Source organism: Homo sapiens, chromosome 11 (assembly GCF_000001405.40).
Source record: "Homo sapiens chromosome 11, GRCh38.p14 Primary Assembly".
Classification (NCBI taxonomy): Eukaryota; Metazoa; Chordata; class Mammalia; order Primates; family Hominidae; genus Homo; species Homo sapiens.
The window spans coordinates 129,891,783-129,913,045 of NC_000011.10; the positions used below are offsets into that span (position 1 = coordinate 129,891,783).

Consider the following 21,263-nt stretch of genomic DNA (forward strand, 5'->3'; position numbering starts at 1 on the left):
GGAATGAAAGTGTCTCAAACAGTTGAAAAGAACCAAACAAATAAAGGAGCCTACCTTTAAGTTTAAACCAAAAACATTTAAAAGAAATACTGCAACTATTAACTAACAGATTTACTAACACAGTAAGACACTGGGTCAGGGAGAGATTAACTGCCAAATATTTCACAGTGAAGATTAAGTACTCATAACAATCTTCTGGTTTTAGTAGAAAAGATACCCACTGATGTGTTTCTTCATATTTGTTTTCCATAATTTCTTCCTTTTTTTTTTCTATTTTTAATTATTATTTCAATAGTATTGGGGGAACAGGTGGTGTCTGGTTACATGGGTGAGTTCTTTAGTGGTTATTTCTGAGATTTTGGTGCGCCTATCACCCAAGCAGTGTACACTGCACCCAATGTGTATTCTTTTACCCCTCACCCGACTCCCATCCTTCCCCCCAAGTCCCCAGAGTCCATTATCATTCTTATGCCTTTGTGTCCTCAAAGCTTGGCTGCCACTTATAAGTGAGAATGATGTTTGGTTTTCCATTCCCAAGTTCCTTCACTTAGAATAATGACCTCCAATTCCATCCAGTTTGCTGCAAATGCCATTATTTCATTCCTTTTTATGGCTGAGTAGTATTCCATGGTTAAAATACACAACCATTTTTAATGGATGAAAATTATCTTGTTAAAAATAGGGCTTAAATCATGTTATCAAGTTATTCTGGCATGTTATTAAACATGCGGAACGTAGCTTGTTTTCTTCCTTAATCGGATATTAAATAGACTCTAAACTTAAAAAAAAGATAAGAGATCAGGCTGCCTGCAATGTAGAAAATGAACAAAAGGGAGCACAAAAGACTGGAAATGTAGAGTGGAAAAGGTTTCCCACAGCTGTTACAAGGAAGCTGACAGAGAGGAAAAGGTCACAACCGTGTTACTACTCACATCCTCCAGAAGGTCCTCGGGCAGACTAACTCTGGTGCCTCCCAGGAGGCAATCCTCCATGATGCGCGTGCCATGGCCATCTCCACACGGACCAAGTTCCAGAGGATCTGTCAGCATATGGTCTAAGGAATCCATTGTTTCTTCTCCACAGGTACTCTGGACAAAGACATGCATCTTGAGACAGAAAGGCAGAAATTCCAGGGATCTAGTTGATGCTAACACTCCTCCAGGAAAACATTCAACCTCCAGCCAGTTCTTACACCTTATCCTTGCACCCTAATTACAGCTAAACAGCTCTCCTCCCTCCCTTTCACCACAGCATTCCCACTGGAATTTTCAAGTCTTACCTGGAAGAGCTCTTTTCTCAGAATGCTCCTACAGTAACTCCTAAATTCATAAATTTCATATGCCTTCATTTTACAGATGAGTAAAATGAGACTGAGAATAAATGATAAACAGATCACAATCTATAATTTACACTTCCCAGACCAATAATCACTCTCCCACAATGTAATTTCTGTAACAACTGTTTTTTAGCAATTAATTCTTTGTTGTTGGCTGGGTGCAGTAACTCACACCTACAATCTCAGTACTTTGGGAGGTCCAGGCGGGCAGTCCCCTTGAATCCATGAGTTTGAGACCAGCCTAGCGAACATGGCAAAACCCCTTCTCTACAAAAAAAAAAAAAAAAAAAAATCAGCCAGGCGTGGTGGCGCACGCCTGTAGTCCCAGCTACTCAGAAGGCTGAGGTGGGAGGATCGCTTGAACACGAGATGCAGAGGGTACAATAAGCCGTGATCACGCTACTGCACTCCAGCCTGGGCAACAGAGACCCTGTCTCAAAAAAAAAAAAAAAGGAAAGGAAAAAGAGAAAGAATATTGTTTGTTGTTCTTTCACAAAAGAAAATTTGCTGAAAATCAACATACACTAGTAAAATGCAAATGCTAACAGTCACTTTATGAGGGCCTATTAAAAGCCAGGCCTTTCACATATCTCATTTAATTCCTACAACTGTGCAAAGTAAGGTCATGGGTTATTACATCGGAATTAAAACTGAAAATCAGAGTAGGTCAGTAACTTGCCCAACCCCAGAGGCAGTACTGAAACTCAGGTCTACCTGCCTGCAAACCCATGTGCTTAATGCTACACACAATACCTCTTGTATAACCTCGCAACATTTAAATAATAAAAACGAACCTTACTGATATGACTTTATTAGTCCATATAAATTCCTGAGGTTCCACACACCTGACCATAACCACCAGTAAAGTCAATGGCCAATCTGCCTTTAGTTGGTCCATTTGATCCGTATAATCATGTAAATTAATGCTACTTTTCTCCTTCGTGTAATAACAGAACACTGCTGATCACCTTCAGAAAACTACATACCACAACATTTTCAGACTGATGGCTGGGATTAGGGGTCAAGTTGATAGCACAGGACTGCACAATGCTAACAGGACCACAGGGAGCTTAAACTCAATCACTCTACCAACATTTACTAAATCCATCCTTTCCAGCTCCTATTCCTACAAAGTGGGCTAAAAAGCATACTAAAATGAAAAGAAAAAAGGATGTTAACAGTCAAAACACCAGAATTCCATATTCCACATTCCACAAACACCACATTCCACAAATCTTACCACGCCAGGTGTCAATTTCCTTATTTGAGGAAGGGAAGCTGGACCAGGTCCTCCCTCCCGTTATTTCCAATTCTGGAATCCTGCAATGAATAATCTCTAGATGAGTGACAGTGTGAATTACGTAATACAGGTACTTTTCTTTTCCAAAATTCTCCAATGATAAAGAACAGTTCTAGAATAACTATATGTAAAATGAAGCATGTTCCACTAAATTATTTCAAGCTCCCTTGAAGAGATTTCAGATCCATGTAAAGATATAGCAGAAACTTAAGCGTTGAGTCAAGTCACGTGGGTGGTCCCCAAGCAACTGTGCCCCCTCATCACCCTTCAGCACATGGTGAAATGACATCCTCATCATGCCTATGCCTAAATAAGTGAAGCGGGTGAGACAGCACATAGCATGTGAGTTTAACAAAACTTCAAAATAGCACCAAAAAAAAATTGCAGAAGCAACCTGATGCTCAGAATAAAACCTTCTTAACAGAACTGGCATAGAACAGACTATCAACTGCAAAGTCAGTGTCCTACCTGCCTCTTAGGAGGTCTCTATACAACTTGCTCACAAGTTTCTTCAGTGACGGTGCGTGTCTAGCTAAAGTTAATCTAGTCCACTGACAACCTTTGCACTGCCACTATTCTGAACAGAATCTCAAAATACCAAAACCAGGCAGCTGCCAGGGAGTTGGACCCCGGAAGCCAAGGATTTCCAGATCTTCGGGCGTTCTGAACCTCTTCACTAGACCACGAAGGCCTCTCGGCCTCTCATCACTGGCTTTCAGCACCTGGTCTAACTTTCCCCGCTGGACCCTCCCCAACGCAGAAGCTAAACCCTCGGGTCCTTCCAGAGCAACCGCCGGCTCCAAAGCCCTCAACTCTGCAGCAAATTCCCCTCCGGTGCCAGCCCGGCTGGCCCAAGGCCCGGGTCCAATCCTCAGAACTGCACGGCTCGGCCCCGCCCCTCCCCCACGCCGTGCCTAACCCTAACCCCCAGCCTCACGCGTCGCACCGCTCCCCACGCCCCGCTCCCGCTCCCCACGCCCACACGGGCAGCGACCTCGCGGACCCAGCCGCCCGCTCCCGCTCCCTCCACTCCCAGGAGACACTTCAACCCTTTCGCCGCCCCTTGCCCGCCCTCACCTGAACCGCGGGCGCCGGCCCCCTAACCCGCAGCCCTTCTCCGGCCGCGGGCTCCCAGACGCACTCGCTCCCGCAAGGAGTCTGGGTGCGCGCACGCTCTGGGCCTGCGCGGCGGAAGGGGCGGGGCAGCGCGGGGCGGGGCCTGGAGGGTGCCGGGGCGGGGCCACAGCGGGCGGGTCCTGGAGCGGCTCGGGAGAGCGGAGGGTCGGCGAGGGTGCCTGCGCGCGGCTGGGCCTGGGGATGCAGGTTCCAGCCTGCTTGCGCGTCTCACCTGATTTAGGAGCTTCCAGAGGCCCCAGACAGTGCCTGTCTTTGCCTGACCGCGAATCAAAGTTCCATAGCCCGTGAGCGAAGGCACGTCTATTAGCTGACGTTTGCAGAGAGCATACCCTGCCCCAGGCCCTATGCTAAGCACTTTCTACCCACCGTCTTTGTGCTGCAGCCCTGTGAGCTATGCACTATTAGTGCCCATTTTACAGTTGAGGACATGAGTAGAACGCGACCTCAGCCTGTGCTTCCGAGTTCCTTCATTCCTCCTTCCCGTCCCCGGGCCCTCGATGTCCAGAAAGAATGTAAACACATCGAAGGATCACATTTTAAAGTTAAACTCCATCATTTTCCTCTTCTTAGATATGAAGGCCCCTTTCCTGTTATTCACTGGGTTTTGCTTAGTACGGCTTCACACTACTTATTCCAGGTACTCCCAGCAGTGGCGCAGAGACCATCCTCAGTTCTGTGTGTGGATGGGACCAGAGAAGCCGGCCGGCCGAGCTAATGTTCTTCCCTTCCTGGAAGAGAGTAGTTTCCAAACAACCCGATCTCTGTTCCTCTACTGGCTCCACATATGCTCTAAGTTCCTGTTACACTGTTGAGAGGCTCTTGAATTAGAAACTATCGAGTATAAATGGCAGTGGAATATCACTCTATAGTTGTCACCGATATTTCCCTTACCTTGAGATTGTGACAAGACCAGAAAGAGAAAAAGAGTAAAAACAATGTAAACTATAATTTTTGATAGACTTTGTTTTTTTAAAGTGGTTTAAAGTTAACAAAATTGAGCAGAAAGATATTTTCCAAATACTCCCCGCCCCACCTCCCCACATGCATCGCCTTCCCTTTATCAACATCCTCTACCAGAGTGGTACATTTCTTAGAACTGATGAACCCGGCCCGGCCTGGTGGCTCACGCCTGTAATCCCAACACTTTGGGAGGCCGAGGCGGGCGGATCCCGAGATCAGGAGATCGAGACCATCCTGGCCAACATGGTGAAACCGCGTCTCTACTAAAAATACAAAAATTCGCCGGTCGTGGTGGCGGGCACCTGTAGTCCCAGCTACTCGGGAGCTGAGGCAGGAGAATTGCTTGAACCGGGGAGGCGGAGGTTGCAGTGAGCCGAGATTGAGCCATTGCACTCCAGCCTGTCGACAGAGCGAGACAGAGCGAGACTCCATCTCAAACAAAAGAACTGATGAACCTACATTGATACATCATTACCCACCATCACAGTATAATGCAGAGTAATTTCACTGTCTTAAAAATCATCTGTGCTCTGCATATTCATCTCTCCCTCTCCTCTACCCCTGGCAACCGCTGATCTTTTTGTCTCCATAGTTTTGCCTTTTTCCAGAGTGTCATCTAGTTGGAATTACATAGTATGTAGCCGTTTCAGATTGGCTTCCTTCCCGTAGTAACAGGCATTGAAGTTTCCTCCATGTCTTTTCATGGCTTGATAGCTCCTATTTCTTTTTAGTGCTGAATAATATTCCATTGTGTCGATATATCACAGTTTTATCTATTCGCTTACTGAAAGATATCTTCATTGTTTCCAGGTTTTGGCAATTATGAATCAAGCAATTATGAATCAAACAACCCAGAAATCCAACCACCCACTCCAGGCATCTTTGCATGAACGTATCAAAAACACCTCAGTCCCAATGCCCAGGATCTTCCCCTTTGAGAGGCTGAGATGGGTGGATCACTTGAGCCCAGGAATTGGAGACCAGCCTGGGCAATATGGTGAAACCCCATCTCTACTAAAATAAATACAAAAAATTAGCCAGGTGTGGTGGCACGTGCCTGTAGTCCCAGCTACTCAGGAGACTGAGGTGGGAGAATCGCTTGAGCCAGGGAGATCGAAGCTGCCGTGAGCTGTGATTGCACCACTGCACTCCAGCCTGGGCAACAGAGTGAAACCCTGTCTCAAAAAAGTAAAAAGAAAAATAAAACAACAAAGAATAAGTAAGACTTTTCCTTTACCTTCATTATTAAAGGTAATAATGATGTTCTTTCTTTATATAGATCTGAGGTTCTGACTTTTATCATTTTTCTTCTCTCTGAAAAACTTAACATTCTCTCCAAGGCAGGTCTACTGGCAACAAATCCCCTTTGCTTTTGGGGGATAATTTCATGGGCTACAGCATTCTAGGTTAGACACTGCTTTTTTCTCTCAACACCTTAAACATTTCATTCCACTCGCTCCTTGTGTGCACAGTTTCTGAAGAAAAGTCATTTTTTGTTCATTTGTTTTTTGGTTTTGAAGGATTTTTTTGCATTTATCCTGTGTGTCCTCTGAGCTTCCCGGATCTGTGGTTTCATCTTCCATATTGATTTGGGGAAATAATCAATCATTATTGCTTCAAATATTTCTTCTGTTCCTTTCTCTGTCTTCTGCTAGTATTCCCATGAGGCATAGTTATACCTTTTTTTCATCATCTCACAGTTTTTGGATATTGTTTGTCTTTCAGTTATAGAGGTTTCTATTGAGATATCCTTAAGCTCAGCAATTCTTTCCTAAGATGTGTCTAGTCTACCATTTAGCCTCTCACAGCTACTCTTCATGTTTTTTTTTTTTTTTTTTTTTTTTTTGAGGTGGAGTCTTGCACTGTGACCCAGGCTGGAGTGCAGAGGCGCAATCTCAGCTCTCTGCAACCTCCACCACCCAGGTTCAAGCGATTCTCCCACTTCAGCCTCCTGAGTAGCTGGGATTACAGGCACCCACCACCACGCCTGGCTAATTTTTGTATTTTTAGTAGAAGCAGGGTTACACCGTGTTGGCCAGGCTGGTCTTGAACTCCTGACCTCAAATGATCCACCCACTTCAGCCTCCCAAAGTGCTGGGTTTACAGGCATGAGCTGCCGTGCCCAGCCTACTCTTCATTTTTTATCTCTAGCATTTTAGCTCATTCTTAGGATTTCCATCTCTCTCCTTACATTGTTTGTTATTGCTTGTTGTCTACTTTCTCTAGTAGAGCCCTTTTCATATTAATCACAGTTGTTTCAAATTCCCAGTCTGTGAATTCCAACATCTCGGCCATATCTAATTCTGGGTCTGATGTTTGCTCTCTTTCTTCAAACTTGTGTCTTTTGCCTCTTAGTATGCCTTGTAATGTTTTTCTTGATAGCTGGTCATGATGTGCCAGGTAGAGAGAGCTTCTGTAAGTAGGCCTTTAGCAATGTGGTGGTAAGGTGTTGGGGTTGGGGAAGCATTCTGTATTCCTAAAGGAGGCCTCAGTCTTCTGGTGAGCCTGTGCCTCTGGACTGTGAACTTCACGAATGCTACGCAGTTATCCCCTCTTAGATGAGGGACAATGGCTGGAATGGGCTGGGGCTGGCTATTTCCTTTCCTCCAGGTGACTGAGGTTCTGCTATAACTTCAGCAGGTTCGGTGCTTGTTATAATAGAAAGATCAGAAAGCTCTGGAGTATTTCAAAATGGTTCCTTCTCCCCTTCCTCTGCTGGAAGCATGAGGGAATTTTTCTCCAAATTTCACTGTGAGAACCTAGTCAAGCTCCTGGGGATAAAACTCACAAAAGTGTGGGTCTCCCTTGACCCCCCCTCCAGTGACTGAGTTCCCTGGAGTTTTTAACCTCTCAGATTTCTCCACGCTGAGCCTGCAGCAATTCATCAAATATAGTTCAAGTTTTCCTACCCTGGCGCTGGTTCTCATAGAGGTTATTGATCGTGGATTTTTTTCTCACGGGTTTCTGTTCAATAAGCTATGATTCTCTGTATTTGCCTGTTTGTCTTTCCAATTTTGGGGACAGCAGTTTGTCCTGTGGGCTCAACTTTCTGATGGATCTAAGGAGAGATGTTGATCTTTCCATTTGCTCAGCTTCTTACTTATTGCTAGGATGGAGGGACAACTTCCAAGCTTCCTGTATGCCACGCTGGAAACCAAAAGTTGCAATTCTTCAAAGAAAAAAAAATAGCTCTTGTAGCTTCACACATACAAACATGTTTATTAAAAAATATATTTATTAATTTTTACACCTGCTGCATAGCACAAGACTATTAACACTATAACTCACTGAATGTACAATAAATGTTCACATTTAAATAACAGGATAGGGTCAACATTTTCAACCAGTGGGTCAGCTTTAGCATCTCATGAAGTGCTTTTTAGACCTAGATATCTTAAGAGTTTTTTTGAAAGGATACTTCCAAGTCAGAAAACAAGAAGATCAAAACAATAGGTTTTTCCAGAATAACAGGAATTTTACATGATGAAATGTCTATTTCTGTCGGTACAAATCAATGATAAAAACAAAATCTACATCCAACCTACTCCAAAATACTCACACTGGACTGAATGAAGTCTACAGTGTCAATGTGTCTTGAGAGAGGCCACAATATCCACACTGGCTACATACATGTTTTCCAAATTAAGTTTTCTGATGGCTCATCATTTGCCATCTCTTCAAATCCAGGTCCTTTTAAAAATCTATGACCTTGGAATGAATGTGCAGAATACCTGATCTGAAAGCCATGCGATTTGGCTCGACTGCCATCCGCATCTCTGGCTGATAATATACAAATTAGTTTTAGAGTCTTTATTTCACTTAAGGACCAAAGAAGAAGAAGAAGAAGAAGAAGAAGAAGACAACTTAGAAGGGAAAGCAACAAAGAGGTCCTTCCACAATATTTTCCTCTGTGTATTTTAAAACTTAAAACAACTGCCATAAAATGAACATTCCATTCAGTGATTCTTTTCAGTTTTCCAATAAGTTATTCCTGAAGGGAGGGGAGATACCTTATGGTTCAAATTAAAAAGAACGTAACAGGGCCAAATTTAAGTTATAAAAGCTAAAACTGAACCTTTAGAAAATTCCACTAGTCTTCTCCTAGAAAGTCTTTCTAGACCGGACACTAGGATATTTGTAATCATTACACTGTGGGACTTAGGGAACCCGAACCTGTGTTTTGCAATGCAGGGTCAATATTTTCTGTTGAATATCTTTGTCACAAAGAGAGTCCATTTTCAGTTTCCATATGTTTATGAAGTAATTTTCTCAAGTTCTCTTAGTACTCAAACATTGGGGAACAACTACATGAACGCAGTCTCAGAAATAAAGTGCGAAATCTACACATCAATAAAGTTCTTTTAACAGAATTGTTCACTTTTCAGAAAATTGTCTTTATCATAAAGAAGCTACTCTACTTAATTTATAGAACCAGTTTTTACCCAGAAATGTAAATTAATTAACTTCATTTGAAATGAAGTAAGGTCTTTCTGTTCTGGAGTAATAAATTCTACTATGCAATAATTATTCTGAAAATGTGTTAGCATGTCACAAAAAGTTAAAATATATACTGATTTTTTAATGCCCAACTAATAGTATATTCATAAAGACTGGATTTCTTCCAGATCCCTTATAACTACCTGAATTATTAGAAGTGGCCATCACATTTTAATTTTTTCCCTAAGTGTGAAGTTGACCGTCTTATTAAAAGGTCTAGATGAGTCACAATATGTTTAAAGTTAAAAATGTTAATAAATAAGAAATGCCACCTTCCTGTCCAACTTTAAAGAATGTTCATTTTAAGACAGCATTAAAAGTAATAAAATACACTGAACATGTCAGCAAGAGTTAAATGTACACTTGGTAAGAACAAGGAATATATCCTTTACCAATGAATGATAAATGGATCCTGCAAGGCAGAACAAAATTTCAATACTTTCTCTCTCTCTCTCTCAATAGTTTTGGAAATTTTTCTTGGTACCAATATCTCCTTCTTACCACCACCACAACCACAGAATGGGAGGCAAAGCTTTAATGTAGGGGTTTAGATTCTGCTGACATCAAGCAGCCTTTTCTCTTTCAGGTTGTCCACCTTTGTGAAATAATGAAGAACTATCAGAACATGAGCTTCTGACCTAATCCACTGAGGACCAGCATCTGTGGAAAGCACTACCAACAGCCCAACAATAGTTTTCTAAAATAGGGAAGTTAAAAAAAATCAGCAAGAAAAATTTAGATGACAGTTTTTGCTTCAGAATATCACTGTCAAACTTTTGTTTCATCATTTTAATTTTGTTATTCAGCAGGCTCCCTTTGTTAAATTACTGAAAACTAAAACAAGATAAAGCAGTTCAGACCTAATGCACACCCACAAAATGCCCCTTCTCCTTTGGTGCCATGGCTTGGAATAAGAAGTCCAGTAACCATGAACTTGGCACATCCTGTCTCCACCTTTGGTATGAACACAATATGCCACTTAATATTTCCACAAAGGAAAAGTAAGGCTCGTCAGTATGTTAAAAGACCAGCTCAAGAGCAAGGCAAATTCTCTCCACCTCGAAATCTACTTTCCCCTGAAAGATCTCTGTTCTGTGGCAAAAACCGAGGGTTTGAAGAGTCAATTTGATAAAGATGACCTTGGCAAAATAAACCCCAGTGTATGGATGAGAGACAAAACTGTGGTTTCCGAACTCTTGAGTGAATAATAAATCTTACAAAAGAGCTCTACGTGTCAGAGCTTTCAGACTTATGAGAACAGACATGAGGTGGGTGCTGGATTCAAGCTCCAGGGTGGAAGTCATGGTTTGGTGATATGCACTTCGCTGCTTCCGTTCCCGTTGGTGGTGGTGGTGATGATGTACTGTGTGGTCTGCTGTTGGCTGTTGGTCTGGGGGTCCAGGGAGTCACTGTGTGCAGGTGGCTCGACCTGGACTCCACCAGAGAGGGCAGAAGTTTGCTTTTCTTCCAATTCTGATTGACTTTCTGATAACACATAATGACCCTAGAGGAAGAAGAAAAGGATCCTTAAAAACTTGGGGCCTTAAAGGGAGGGTGAAGCTACTGGGGAAGGAGGGAGATGTGAAGAAATGTCACAAGGGACCCAAAATAGGCATCTATGAGAGATGCTTTGCCTAGGTCCTTTAGAGAGGGTGGATCAGTCACAATAATTGACGACAAAGATAAGCTCCTTAAAGGAGCACCTTAGCAGTTTCACCAAATGATAGAGCGAACAACTTCAGGTACAGTAATTTGCATCATGGTGGTAACATACGTGGCAAAGAAAACATGCCGTTGCAATGCTCCTAATGATTTACAAATTCAGAAAAGATAGTTAACTGTCCATTCGATCTTAAGATTAATACAGAATGGATCCAAGAAGAGATATTTAAAGTCTCCTTGAAGAGGCAGAATGACCCTGAAGACAGGTAGTCAAGTCAATGGTTCTCAGACTTCAGAATTTCAAAAGACCAGCAAAATTTAAAAAAATAATAAATGGAGGCCAGGCATGGTGGCTCACACCTGTAATCCCAGCACTTTGGGAGGCCAAGGTGGGCGGATCACCTGAGGTCAGGAGTTCGAGACCAGCCTGACCAACATGAAGAAACTCCGTCTCTACTAAACATACAAAAAAAATTAGCCGGGCGTGGTGGTACATGCCTGTAATCCCAGCTACTTGGGAGGCTGAGACAGGAGAATCTCTTGAACCTGGGAGGCAGAGGTTGCAGTGAGTTGAGATCGTGCCATTGCACTCAAGCCTGGGCAACAAGAGCGAAACTCCGTCTCAAAATAATAATAATAATAATAATAATAATAATAATAATAATAAATGGTTCCCAAATTTTATTTTGTCAAGTAAGGTCATTTAAAAAAACGCGACCATCAAATAGACATTTTAACACTCAAGAGTACAGGAACAACAGGATCTCAGAATGAAATCCCTTACACTGAATACATTTAGCTTTATGAAAACTTACACATGGTCTTTGTTTTCTTATTTTTCCCCTCATCATGAAAACGTCTTCGTGACGTTCAGCCTGTAGCTGGCTATTTTGTTACATTAACATTTTTAAAGAAATGTGTCTGTCGGTCAGAAGGAGGGTTGGTCAGCTACAGCACAGAGGAAGAGAGACGTCGCAGAGAGACTGTCAGGCAGTAGCCTGTCTGCACTGCCCAGAAAAGAGCCATCGCCAAATACCCATTTGATTCCACTAGGGCCAGATGTTCTGAGTTCACCCCCACCAGACAACGTTCTGATTATGATTGGTTTTTCCACGTGGGGAGGGGGCTGTTTCTCAACCTAGGGTCCATTGACTCCTAGGGGGTCCATAGGTCAGCTGCAAAAAATGCATGAACCCCCAAAAATGGACATTAAATTAGTGTGCACATACACTGTGGCAGGGGGAGAGAAATAACTTTGGCTAAAACCATTCTCAAATGAGTTCCAGGCCAGAAAAAGGTCAAAGTCAATGGGTCCTACAGGGAACAAAAAATGTCCTGATCATGCCAATATGATTATCTCATTTTACATTCGTTACTGTTTTCACTGACAATTAATAGTGTTACTCTGGATTTACAAATCTCTCCTAAGTCTAGTTAATGTGACCTCGTGTGCTGAGAAACAGGTGAGCTCTCAGTATACTAAAAAAAAAAAAAAAAAAAAGGAGAAAAAAAATCAGGTTTTTGAGGCCACAAGACTAGTTAGCTACCCTCTGAAACCTCTTAAGAAAATCTTCCCTTGGTAATATCTCAATATTCCTAGCCATTGAAGAGCATTTTTCCTTTTTTTTCCTTCTAGCTTTATTAAGATATAATTAAACAAATCAACCTGATTAACATATCCATCAACTCATGCACTTACCATTTTATTTTGTGGCAAAAACATTATCTATACTATGTTAACAGTTTTCAAGTACACAATACATTATGAACACAGCCAGCATGCTGTACACAAGATCTCCAGAACTTATTCACCCAGGAGTATTTTTCTTTTTTTTTCTTTTCTGAGACAGAGTCTCACTTTGTTGCCCAGGCTGGAGTGCAGTGGCATGATCTCGGCTCACTGCAACCTCCGCCTCCCAGGTTCAAGCAATTCTCATGCTTCAGCCTCCTGAGTAGCTGGGATTATAGGGATGCACCACCACACCCAGCTAATTTTTGTATTTTTAGTAGAGGCAGGGTTTTGCCACGTTGGCCAAGTTGGTCTTGAACTCCTGACCTCAAGTGATCTGCCTGCCTTGGCCCCCCAAAGTGTTGGGATTATAGGCGTGAGCCACTGAGCCCAGCCAAGAGTATTTTTCTAAATTCACATGTATGTACTCTGTCTTCTAATAACTTAAGAGGCAGGCCAGAACAAACCAGTGAAGATAAAAACAGAAGAAGGAGATACAATCAACATTGTACCTGCCCAACTTAGATAATTTATGGCAATGTTTTTCACTTTCGGGTGGATGAAATGTTTAATACAGCTCCATAATTGATTCATTATATTATTCTCTCCCAACCCAGTTGAGGGCCAATTGTCTTGAGGACTCAATCTTTCCAAGAAGCATATAAAAACGCTCATAAGGGCCAGAAGTGGTGGCTCACGCCTATAATCCCAGCACTTTGGGAGGTTAAGGTGGGCGGATCATGAGGTCAGGAGATCAAGATCATACTGGCCAGCATGGTGAAACCCCATCTCTACTAAAAATACAAAAATCAGTTGGGTGTGGTGGTGCGTGTCTGTAATCCCAGCTACTTGGGAGGCTGAGGCAGGAGAATCACTTGAACCCAGGAGACGGAGGTTGCAGGTGAGCTGAGATTGCACCACTGCACTCCAGCCTGGCGACACAGCAAGACTCTGTCTCAGAAAAAAAAAAAAAAAAAAAAGGCTCATAGGGATGGAGATAGGACCATTACAGTTATTAATTGAACAGATATTTATTGAGCATTTGCTATATCCTAGCCTCCTGGACAGGGCACTGAGGATAAAGTGATAATGCCCAAGACCTAGCTTTCAAAGAATTCATCATCTACTGTGAGAAAACAGAGTAAGCCAATCATTACGAGATAAGTGGTGATAAGAGTTACTATACAGCACCACAGGTTGGACAGGAAAAACCCGACCGAGTAGCGTAGCTTACCGAAGTAACCGCCTTCACCTGGCCAGTAGTAACTGGAGTTGCCACACCACTGTCTGTAATCACAAACTGACCCGGAGGAAGCGTCATCATTTGAATCTCAGATGCTAAAAAACAGGAAATATTCATAGTTCAGTGGTCTCAGATTTTAACACAAGTCTTAGAAACAAAAACATAACCAGTAGCCACAGTCCGCACTGATTTGCTTGCCATGAGAGTCTCACAATGATGTGATTTCTTGGTGCCGTGAAAGCATCTCTGCTACGAATTGAGAAGAGCCTGGTACGCAGATACCCAGTGTCAGAGACAATCAGTGCATTCCCCTTCAAATGTGGCTTCTCAATATCCACAAAGACAAATACTCAACAATTTTTAAAACCTTGAAATACGTCACAAAGAGTTACCTTTTAAATCAATATTTTTATCTTTTATATTCAGATTTGAATTTGTGACACAAATGTATCCACACTTGGCAATTATAATTTAATCCAACTTGAATTTTATTTCACCACCAGTGTTATTAGAGCAAATTAAAAATAAAGCCCACCCTAGCATCTTGTTGATGGTCTCTAAATAACATTTTCTACTAAAAGGAATGAGAGTTTCTTGGGAAAATGGCTGATTCCAGACCTGGGCAGAAAGCTTGTGAGACAGTTGTGGGGCATCGTGTCTTCCCAGCACACAAGACGTGACGAAAGGCTATCGAGGCATGTGAGAATAACGCAGGAGCCAGTTAGAAGAGGCTCCTACAAACCAGAGAGGGGATCACTCGAGCATGGGTAAGGATCACACCTGCAATCGGCTGAAACACACCAGGCGTTGAAATCCAGGGGTCCATAACCACCATAAGACGTGCACACACAACCCTATCACCTTGGATAGCATAAGAAATCAATTCATTTTGTGAAAACTGGTAAACAAAGGAAATGAATCAGGTATTTAAAGTGTTTATCCTGCCTTTCTTGTACAAACTGTAACTGAGAGTAACTTGGTAGTGAAGGTAAAATTTTTTTCTTTATAAAAGTTTTCTAGCTAATTAATGAATAAGGTGCTAGAATCATGGCCAGGCACATGGACTCATTCCTGTAATCCCAGCACTTTGGGAGGCCAAGGCAGGCGGATCACTTGAGGTCAGGAGTTTGAGATCAGCCTGGCCAACATGGTGAAACCCCATCCCTGCTAAAAATACAAAAATTAGCCAGGCATGGTGGCGGGTGCCTGTAGTCCCAGCTACTCAGGAGTCTGAGGCAGGAGAATCACTTGAACCTGGGAGGCAGAGTTGCAGTGAGCCAAGATCGCACCACTGCACTCTAGGCCTGAGTGACAAAGCGAGACTCCATTTCAAAAAGAAAAAGAAAAAAAAAAAAAGAATATCACGACTTTGCAGCCCTAATGAAATAATGGAGCTAAAGAATAAACATCGATGGCTCCTAACATCACAAGAAGAGAGATGCCTGAACATTATGTGCTCTTGATAGAAGTACACACACCAGCTATGAAGTATCAGGAGGAAAAAAACAAACTGCACCTGAGCAAGCCTGTAGCTCAAATTGCCAGTCTATAGGAAATGAAAGGAACAGAAGAGCACATATTCACTGCTTGGTAACATGGGAATCCCACCAGCAAAATCCAGAATGCGGAAAACAGCACAAATGACCCGGTTTCCTCAACACAGAAATTATAACTTAAAAGAGTGAACACATATTAAAAGAAACTCAAAAGTCATCATCAATTGCAATGTATGGCCCTTATTTGGAACCCAATATGAGCAAACCAACTTTTTTGTTTGAGATGGAGTCTCGCTCTGATGCCCAGGCAGGAGTGCAGTGCCGCGATCTCGGCTCACCACAACCTTCGCCTCCTGGATTCAAGCGATTCTCCTGCCTTGGCCTCCTGAGTAACTGGGACTGTAGGTGCGCACTACCATGCCCAGCTAATTTTTGTATTTTCAGTACAGGCGGGGTTTCATTATGTTGGCCAGGCTGGTCTCGAACTCCTGACCTCATGATCCACCTGCCTTGGCCTCCCAAAGTGCTGGGATTACAGACGTGAGCCACTGTGCCTGGCCAAGCAAACCAACTATTTTTTAAAAAATTTCTGAGACAATCATAGAAATATAAAAACCCTGACTGGGTATTTTAAATATATTTGTGGGTATTAAAGAATTACTGTTGGCTTGGCACAGGGGCTCACGCCTGTCATCCTAGCACTTTGGGAGGCCAAGATGGGAAGATCACTTGAGCCCAGAAGTTTCAAAACCAGCCTGGGCAACACAGCGAGATCTCATCTCTACTAAAAAATTCAAAGGAAAAAAGAATTAGCCAAACATGGTGGTATGTGCCTGTAGTCCTAGCTACTGGGAGGCTGGGGCAGGAGGATGGCTTGAGCCCAGGAGTTCGAGGCTGCAGTGAGCTATGATCACACCACTGTACTCCAGACTGGGTGACAGACAAGACCCTCTCTCTTAAAAAATAAATACAGAAAAAATTACTGTCATTTCTTCTTAGGTGTGATAATGTTGCATGGAGTTGTGTTTTTAAAAAATAGTTTTTTTCAGCTGACCATGGTGGCTTATGCCTGTAATACCAGCACTTTGGGAGCCCAAGGCAGGAGGATCACTTGAGCCCAGGAGTTTGAGATCAACTTAGCCAACATAGTGAGATCTTAGCTCTAAAAAAAAGTTCAAAAATTAGACTACACGTGGTGGCTCACATCTGTAAACCCAGCACTTGGGGAGGTCAAAGTGGGTGGATCACTTGAGTCCAGGTCAAAGCTGCAGGAGCCACGATCATGCTACTGCATTCTCCACCCTGGACGACAGAGCAAAACCCTGTCTCAAATGTTCTTTTTCTTTTAGAGGTAGGTACCAAAATATTTATGGATGAGGTGATATGATGGATCATTATCCAGCTGGAGGATGGGAGATCATGATGGGAGCATATATGAGACAAGGTTGGGTGTAAGTTGGTAACTGCTGAGGCTGGACAATGGGTACAGGATGGTTCGTTACACTCCTCTCTCTACTTTTATATATTTTTACATTTTTCCCTAATAAATTTCAGTCCCAGAATCTTTTCTACAGGTTAGAATGCTAGTTCATCCTATTATTATCATGAATATCTTCATCACTCCACTTTTTTTTTCTTTTTTGAGATGGAGTCTCACTCTGTCACCCAGGCTGGAGTGCAGTGGCATGATCTTTCTGCCTCAGCCTCCTGAGTAGCTGAGATTACAGGCATCCGCCACCAGACGTGGCTAATTTTTTTTGTGTTTTTAATAGAGATGGGGTTTCACCATGTTGGCCAGGCTGGTCTCAAACTCCTGACCTCAAGTGATCCGCCCACCTCGGCCTCCCAAAGTGCTAGGATTGCAGGCATGAGCCACCACGCCTGGCCCGCTCCACTCTCTTTCACAGGAATTACACTGAGTACAGAGGTCAGTCTATTCACCAGATTCTAGTGGTAAGAGAGTCCCTGACTGGAAACTAGACCCAGCCCTCAATGTGACGTCCAATGTTTAAGAGTATAGTTTGTGGCCGGGCACAGTGGCTCATGCCTGTAATTCCAGCACTTTGAGAGGCTGAAGTGGGCGGATCACCTGAGGTCCGGAGTTCGAGATCAGCCTGGCAAACATGGTGAAACCCCGTCTCTACTAAAAATACAAAAATTAGCTGGGCGTGGTGGCGGGTGCCTGTAATCCCAGCTACTCAAGAGGCTGAGGCAGGAGAATCACTTGAACCCGGGAGGCGGAGGTTGCAGTGAGCCGCGATTGTGCCACTGCACTCCAGCCTGGGTGACAGAGCGAGACCCCATCTCAAAAAAAAAAAAAGAATATTGATTGTAAAAATAACTAGACGGTAGAGTTTGAGCCTGACTCCATAGCAAATCTATGTAACATAGCCAAGGATCAATCATGACAAAGACGGGCCCCCAAAAATAAATCAACAGTAGAAGAAAGATCAATACCGACCCTTTCCCTTCTCAGCACCTCTTCCTCCTAGTTTCTACTACTGAGGTCTGTTAAAGTCTACTCCTATTCCTTCCACACCTTCCATGAGAAAGGTCTCATACTTCCTGGCCTGCCCCAAAGCTGTTTCCCCACCAAGGGGTTTACCTGCCCCGACCTCTGTCAGCCAGCCTGCTACTGTTTCCACAGCACGAATCTCAGGGCTTTGGAATCAACGACTCTTCTATCTCCCTCCTTTACTAGATGATGGTCAGCTGCACAGTGGGGTGGTTTAGAGTGGACACTCTGAAGCCAAACTGCCTGGGTTCCAATCCTCTGTTTACTAGCTCTTGGAAAAGTGAGTGTGTGGAAATTGCCTTATCTGTAAAATGCAAATAACAATTGTACTTATCTTATAGGTTGTTGTGAATACTGACTGTGATATATATGGTTCGGAATCATTCCTGGCAATGTAGTAAGAGCTTAATGAAAGCTGGTTAACATTATTATTGTGTGGTGTTACCGATACTAATGAGAATATTAATCTTGGCATAGCCAGTGTCTAGTACAGCGATTGATAGACAGGCATTCTACAAATATTGGTGGAAGGGATGACTCAACATAAGCTATATCCAACTATCTTACTATTTAATTTCATAGCTACATTTCCTCCAGCAATATACCTGACGTTTCGAAAATGTCCTATCAGGGTAGCTCTGTGAAAGCGGAATGCTACACCTTGAGTTTTGTCATGAAACCCATTGAAGTACATTCATAGAGAGTGTAAACAATGGCCAAGAGATACTTTAAAAATCTATCACAAGCTGAAGAAATTATGACACATGGCTGGAGATCCCCCACCCCTGACCGACACGGCATCGTCCCTTCTTACTTACAATAGCCACGGAAGGAATTCCAAGCACTGGGCAGGTACGTGTGCTGCACAGAGGAATTCTGCTGCTGCTGCTGCTGCTGCTGCAGAGCCTGCCCCTGTGTGGAAGAACTGCCCTGGATGTGGGAGGGGCTGAGCCCCTGCTGAGCCTGCTGGGCTGAGGGACTCAACGGCTGCCCAGATACCTGGGGAGAAAGAGAAAGCAATGGTAGGGAATTACGAGCTTCTAATATAGTGAAGACTCACAAATAACTGAAGGAAGTACACCAGACTCATATGAATTATAATACTGAAACTATCGTTGCTATTTTTTTTTTCTTTTGAGATGGAGTTTCACTCTTATTGCCCAGGCTGGAGTGCAACGGCATGATCTCGGCTCACCGCAACCTCCGCCTCCTGAGTTCAAGTGATTCTCCTGCCTCAGCCTCGCGAGTAGCTAGGATTACAGGCATGTGCCAACCCACCCAGCTAATTTTGTATTTTTAGTAGAGAAGGGGTTTCTCCAGGTTGGTCAGGCTGGTCTCGAACTCCCGACCTCAGGTGATCCACCCGCCTCGGCCTCCCAAAGTGCTGGGATTACAGGCATGAGACACAACGCCTGGCCTATCATTGCTATTATTAAAAGTAATATTTTAAATAAGAATAAACTCAATGAAAAGCAAGCATAACTATGAAATTCTAATTTGCTTTCAAAGGATTCTCTACCAGAGTATGCAAAAAAATTAATTTCAATCAACTGTTGGAAAGATAAATGAAAGAAAATATAATTACCTACATTCTATAAGTTTAAAAATAATGGGAGGTGAAGTAACTTGCCTGTGTCACAAAGCTAATCTGGAACACAAAATGAAATGAAACCCAAAGTTCATCGTTTCCATTCACCAGTACTGGCAAATCCCACCTGGCTGGTGGAGTTCAGCACAGGTGGGTGAAGAGGCCCACTCCTGATAACAGGATGAGGCCAGCGCTCTCCAGCCTGCCACACTGCAATCCTGCTCCAAACTACCCTCCCAACTTCCTTTCCAAACATCATTTCCTGTGAGTAATCTAAACAGAATAACCCTGTTTTCTATAAATGTACATTTTCCATTGCAGCATGAGCTTCTTCAGATCAGACTGCCTTCCCCAACGACTATGTCAGAACTGTACCCCTCCTTCAAGACCTCAAAGACCACTTCTTCTAAAAAATGTCCTGGATTCCCTCCTAAACCTAATCTCTCCCTCTCTGAACTCTGAGAACTTATCTATGTATCTCAATTCCAGACTCAAGCATACAAACACAGTAACATAAAATATACCATAATACTCCAGAAAGCCACTGTTCCAAATCATAGAAGCCACTTAGCCATTGCATTTAGAATGAAAGCAAAGACCACTGTTGTTTCTAGGATGTCGTACCACAGGACTCTATGAGGGCAGAAGCAGCTAACAGCTTAATATGTGTCCACAATGCCAATATAAAAATTGGAGGCAAAGGTAAGATCCTTTAATAAAAATCCAAAAATAACAGTAGCTGAGGAGACTAGGTCTGAAGAGAATGTCTTCCCTCTCATTAACTCTGATAATCCCTGAAGCCATGATAACACCTCCAAATAGTCTGTGGAGCAGGGTACCTGGGCGGAGGACGGGGCCGAGGCGGTAGGCTCGCTGACCTGGATGTGCTGCACCTGGATGGCGTGCTGGGGGTAGGGCTGAGGATCATGGAGCTGGCCAACATCCACAGTGGACTGCTGTGACTGGTGAGGGGAAGTGGCCTGGAAGGAGAAAAAACAGGCCCAGAAACCAGACATATATTGATTGAAGTTAAGGGAAATCCTTCCAGAGAAAAGGTTCAGTTAAAAACAATATCCTGGCCGGGTGCAGTGGCTCATGCCTATAAACCCAGCAGTTTGGGAGGCCAAAGCGGGTGTATCGCTTGAGCCCAGGAGTTCGAGACCAGCCTGGGCAACATGGCAAAACCCTGTCTCTACAAAAAATACAAAAATTAGTCAGGTGAATGGCCGGGCGCCGTGGCTCACGCCTGTAATCCCAGCACTTTGGGAGGCCAAGGCGGGTGGATCACGAGGTCAGGAGATCGAGACCGTCCTGGCTAACATGGTGAAACCCCGTCTCTACTGAAAATACAAAAAAATTAGCTGGGTGTGGCGGCAGGCACCTGTAGTCCCAGCTACTAGGGAGGCTGAGGCAGGAGAATGGCGTGAACCTGGGAGGCGGAGCTTGCAGTGAGCTGGGATTGCACCACTGCACTCCAGCCTGGGCGACAGAGCGAGACTCCATCTCGAAAAAAAAAAAAAAATTAGTCAGGCAGCAGGGTGCAGTGGCTCACCCCTGTAATCCCAGCACTTTGGGAGGCTGAGGCGGGGGGATCACTTGAGGTCAGGAGTTCAAGACAAGCCTGACCAATGTGGTGAAACCCTGTCTCCACTAAAAATACAAAAATTAGCTGGGTGTGGTGGCGAGCACCTGTAATCCCAGCTACTCAGGAGGCTAAGGCAGAAGAATCACTTGAACCTGGGAGGCAGAGGTTGCAGTGAGCTGAATTCGTGCCACTGGACTCTAGCCCGGGCAACAGAG

At 43.6% G+C, this 21,263-nt stretch overlaps 2 protein-coding genes across 19 annotated transcripts in view, besides 1 other annotated feature; both read right to left on the reverse strand.

Moving 5' to 3' along the window:
• Nucleotides 1–3,796, reverse strand: part of NFRKB (nuclear factor related to kappaB binding protein) — a 31,943-nt gene extending 28,147 nt beyond the window's left edge. Inside the window, exons 1-3 of one of the 2 annotated variants that reach the window (NM_001143835.2) lie at nt 3,714–3,796; nt 2,577–2,656; nt 933–1,088 (exon numbers count right to left, since the gene is read on the reverse strand). In NM_001143835.2, the coding sequence (NP_001137307.1) occupies nt 933–1,067 (135 nt within the window). In that variant the 5' untranslated portion in view covers nt 1,068–1,088; nt 2,577–2,656; nt 3,714–3,796. Of the gene's footprint in view, nt 1–932; nt 1,228–2,576; nt 2,657–3,713 lie in introns of those variants that run through there. The other variant, NM_006165.4, reaches the window with a different exon arrangement.
• Nucleotides 3,513–3,952: a silencer, noted in NCBI's record as "silent region_4067". NCBI's record gives its function as "represses an Ori minimal core promoter by ATAC-STARR-seq in GM12878 lymphoblastoid cells {active_cell/tissue: GM12878}" and the evidence as "EXISTENCE:reporter gene assay evidence [ECO:0000049][PMID:35858748]".
• PRDM10 (PR/SET domain 10) overlaps nt 7,929–21,263 on the reverse strand; it is a 103,125-nt gene continuing 89,790 nt past the window's right edge. For 9 of the 17 annotated variants that reach the window (NM_001367891.1, NM_001367892.1, NM_001367890.1 and 6 more), the window contains 4 exons: nt 20,303–20,443; nt 18,694–18,874; nt 13,856–13,959; nt 7,929–10,734 (listed from right to left, as the gene is read on the reverse strand). In NM_001367891.1, the coding sequence (NP_001354820.1) occupies nt 10,531–10,734; nt 13,856–13,959; nt 18,694–18,874; nt 20,303–20,443 (630 nt within the window). In that variant the 3' untranslated portion in view covers nt 7,929–10,530. The remainder of the gene's footprint in view (nt 10,735–13,855; nt 13,960–18,693; nt 18,875–20,302; nt 20,444–21,263) is intronic. The other 8 variants (NM_001367894.1, XM_011542912.3, NM_001367893.1 and 5 more) reach the window with 2 other exon arrangements.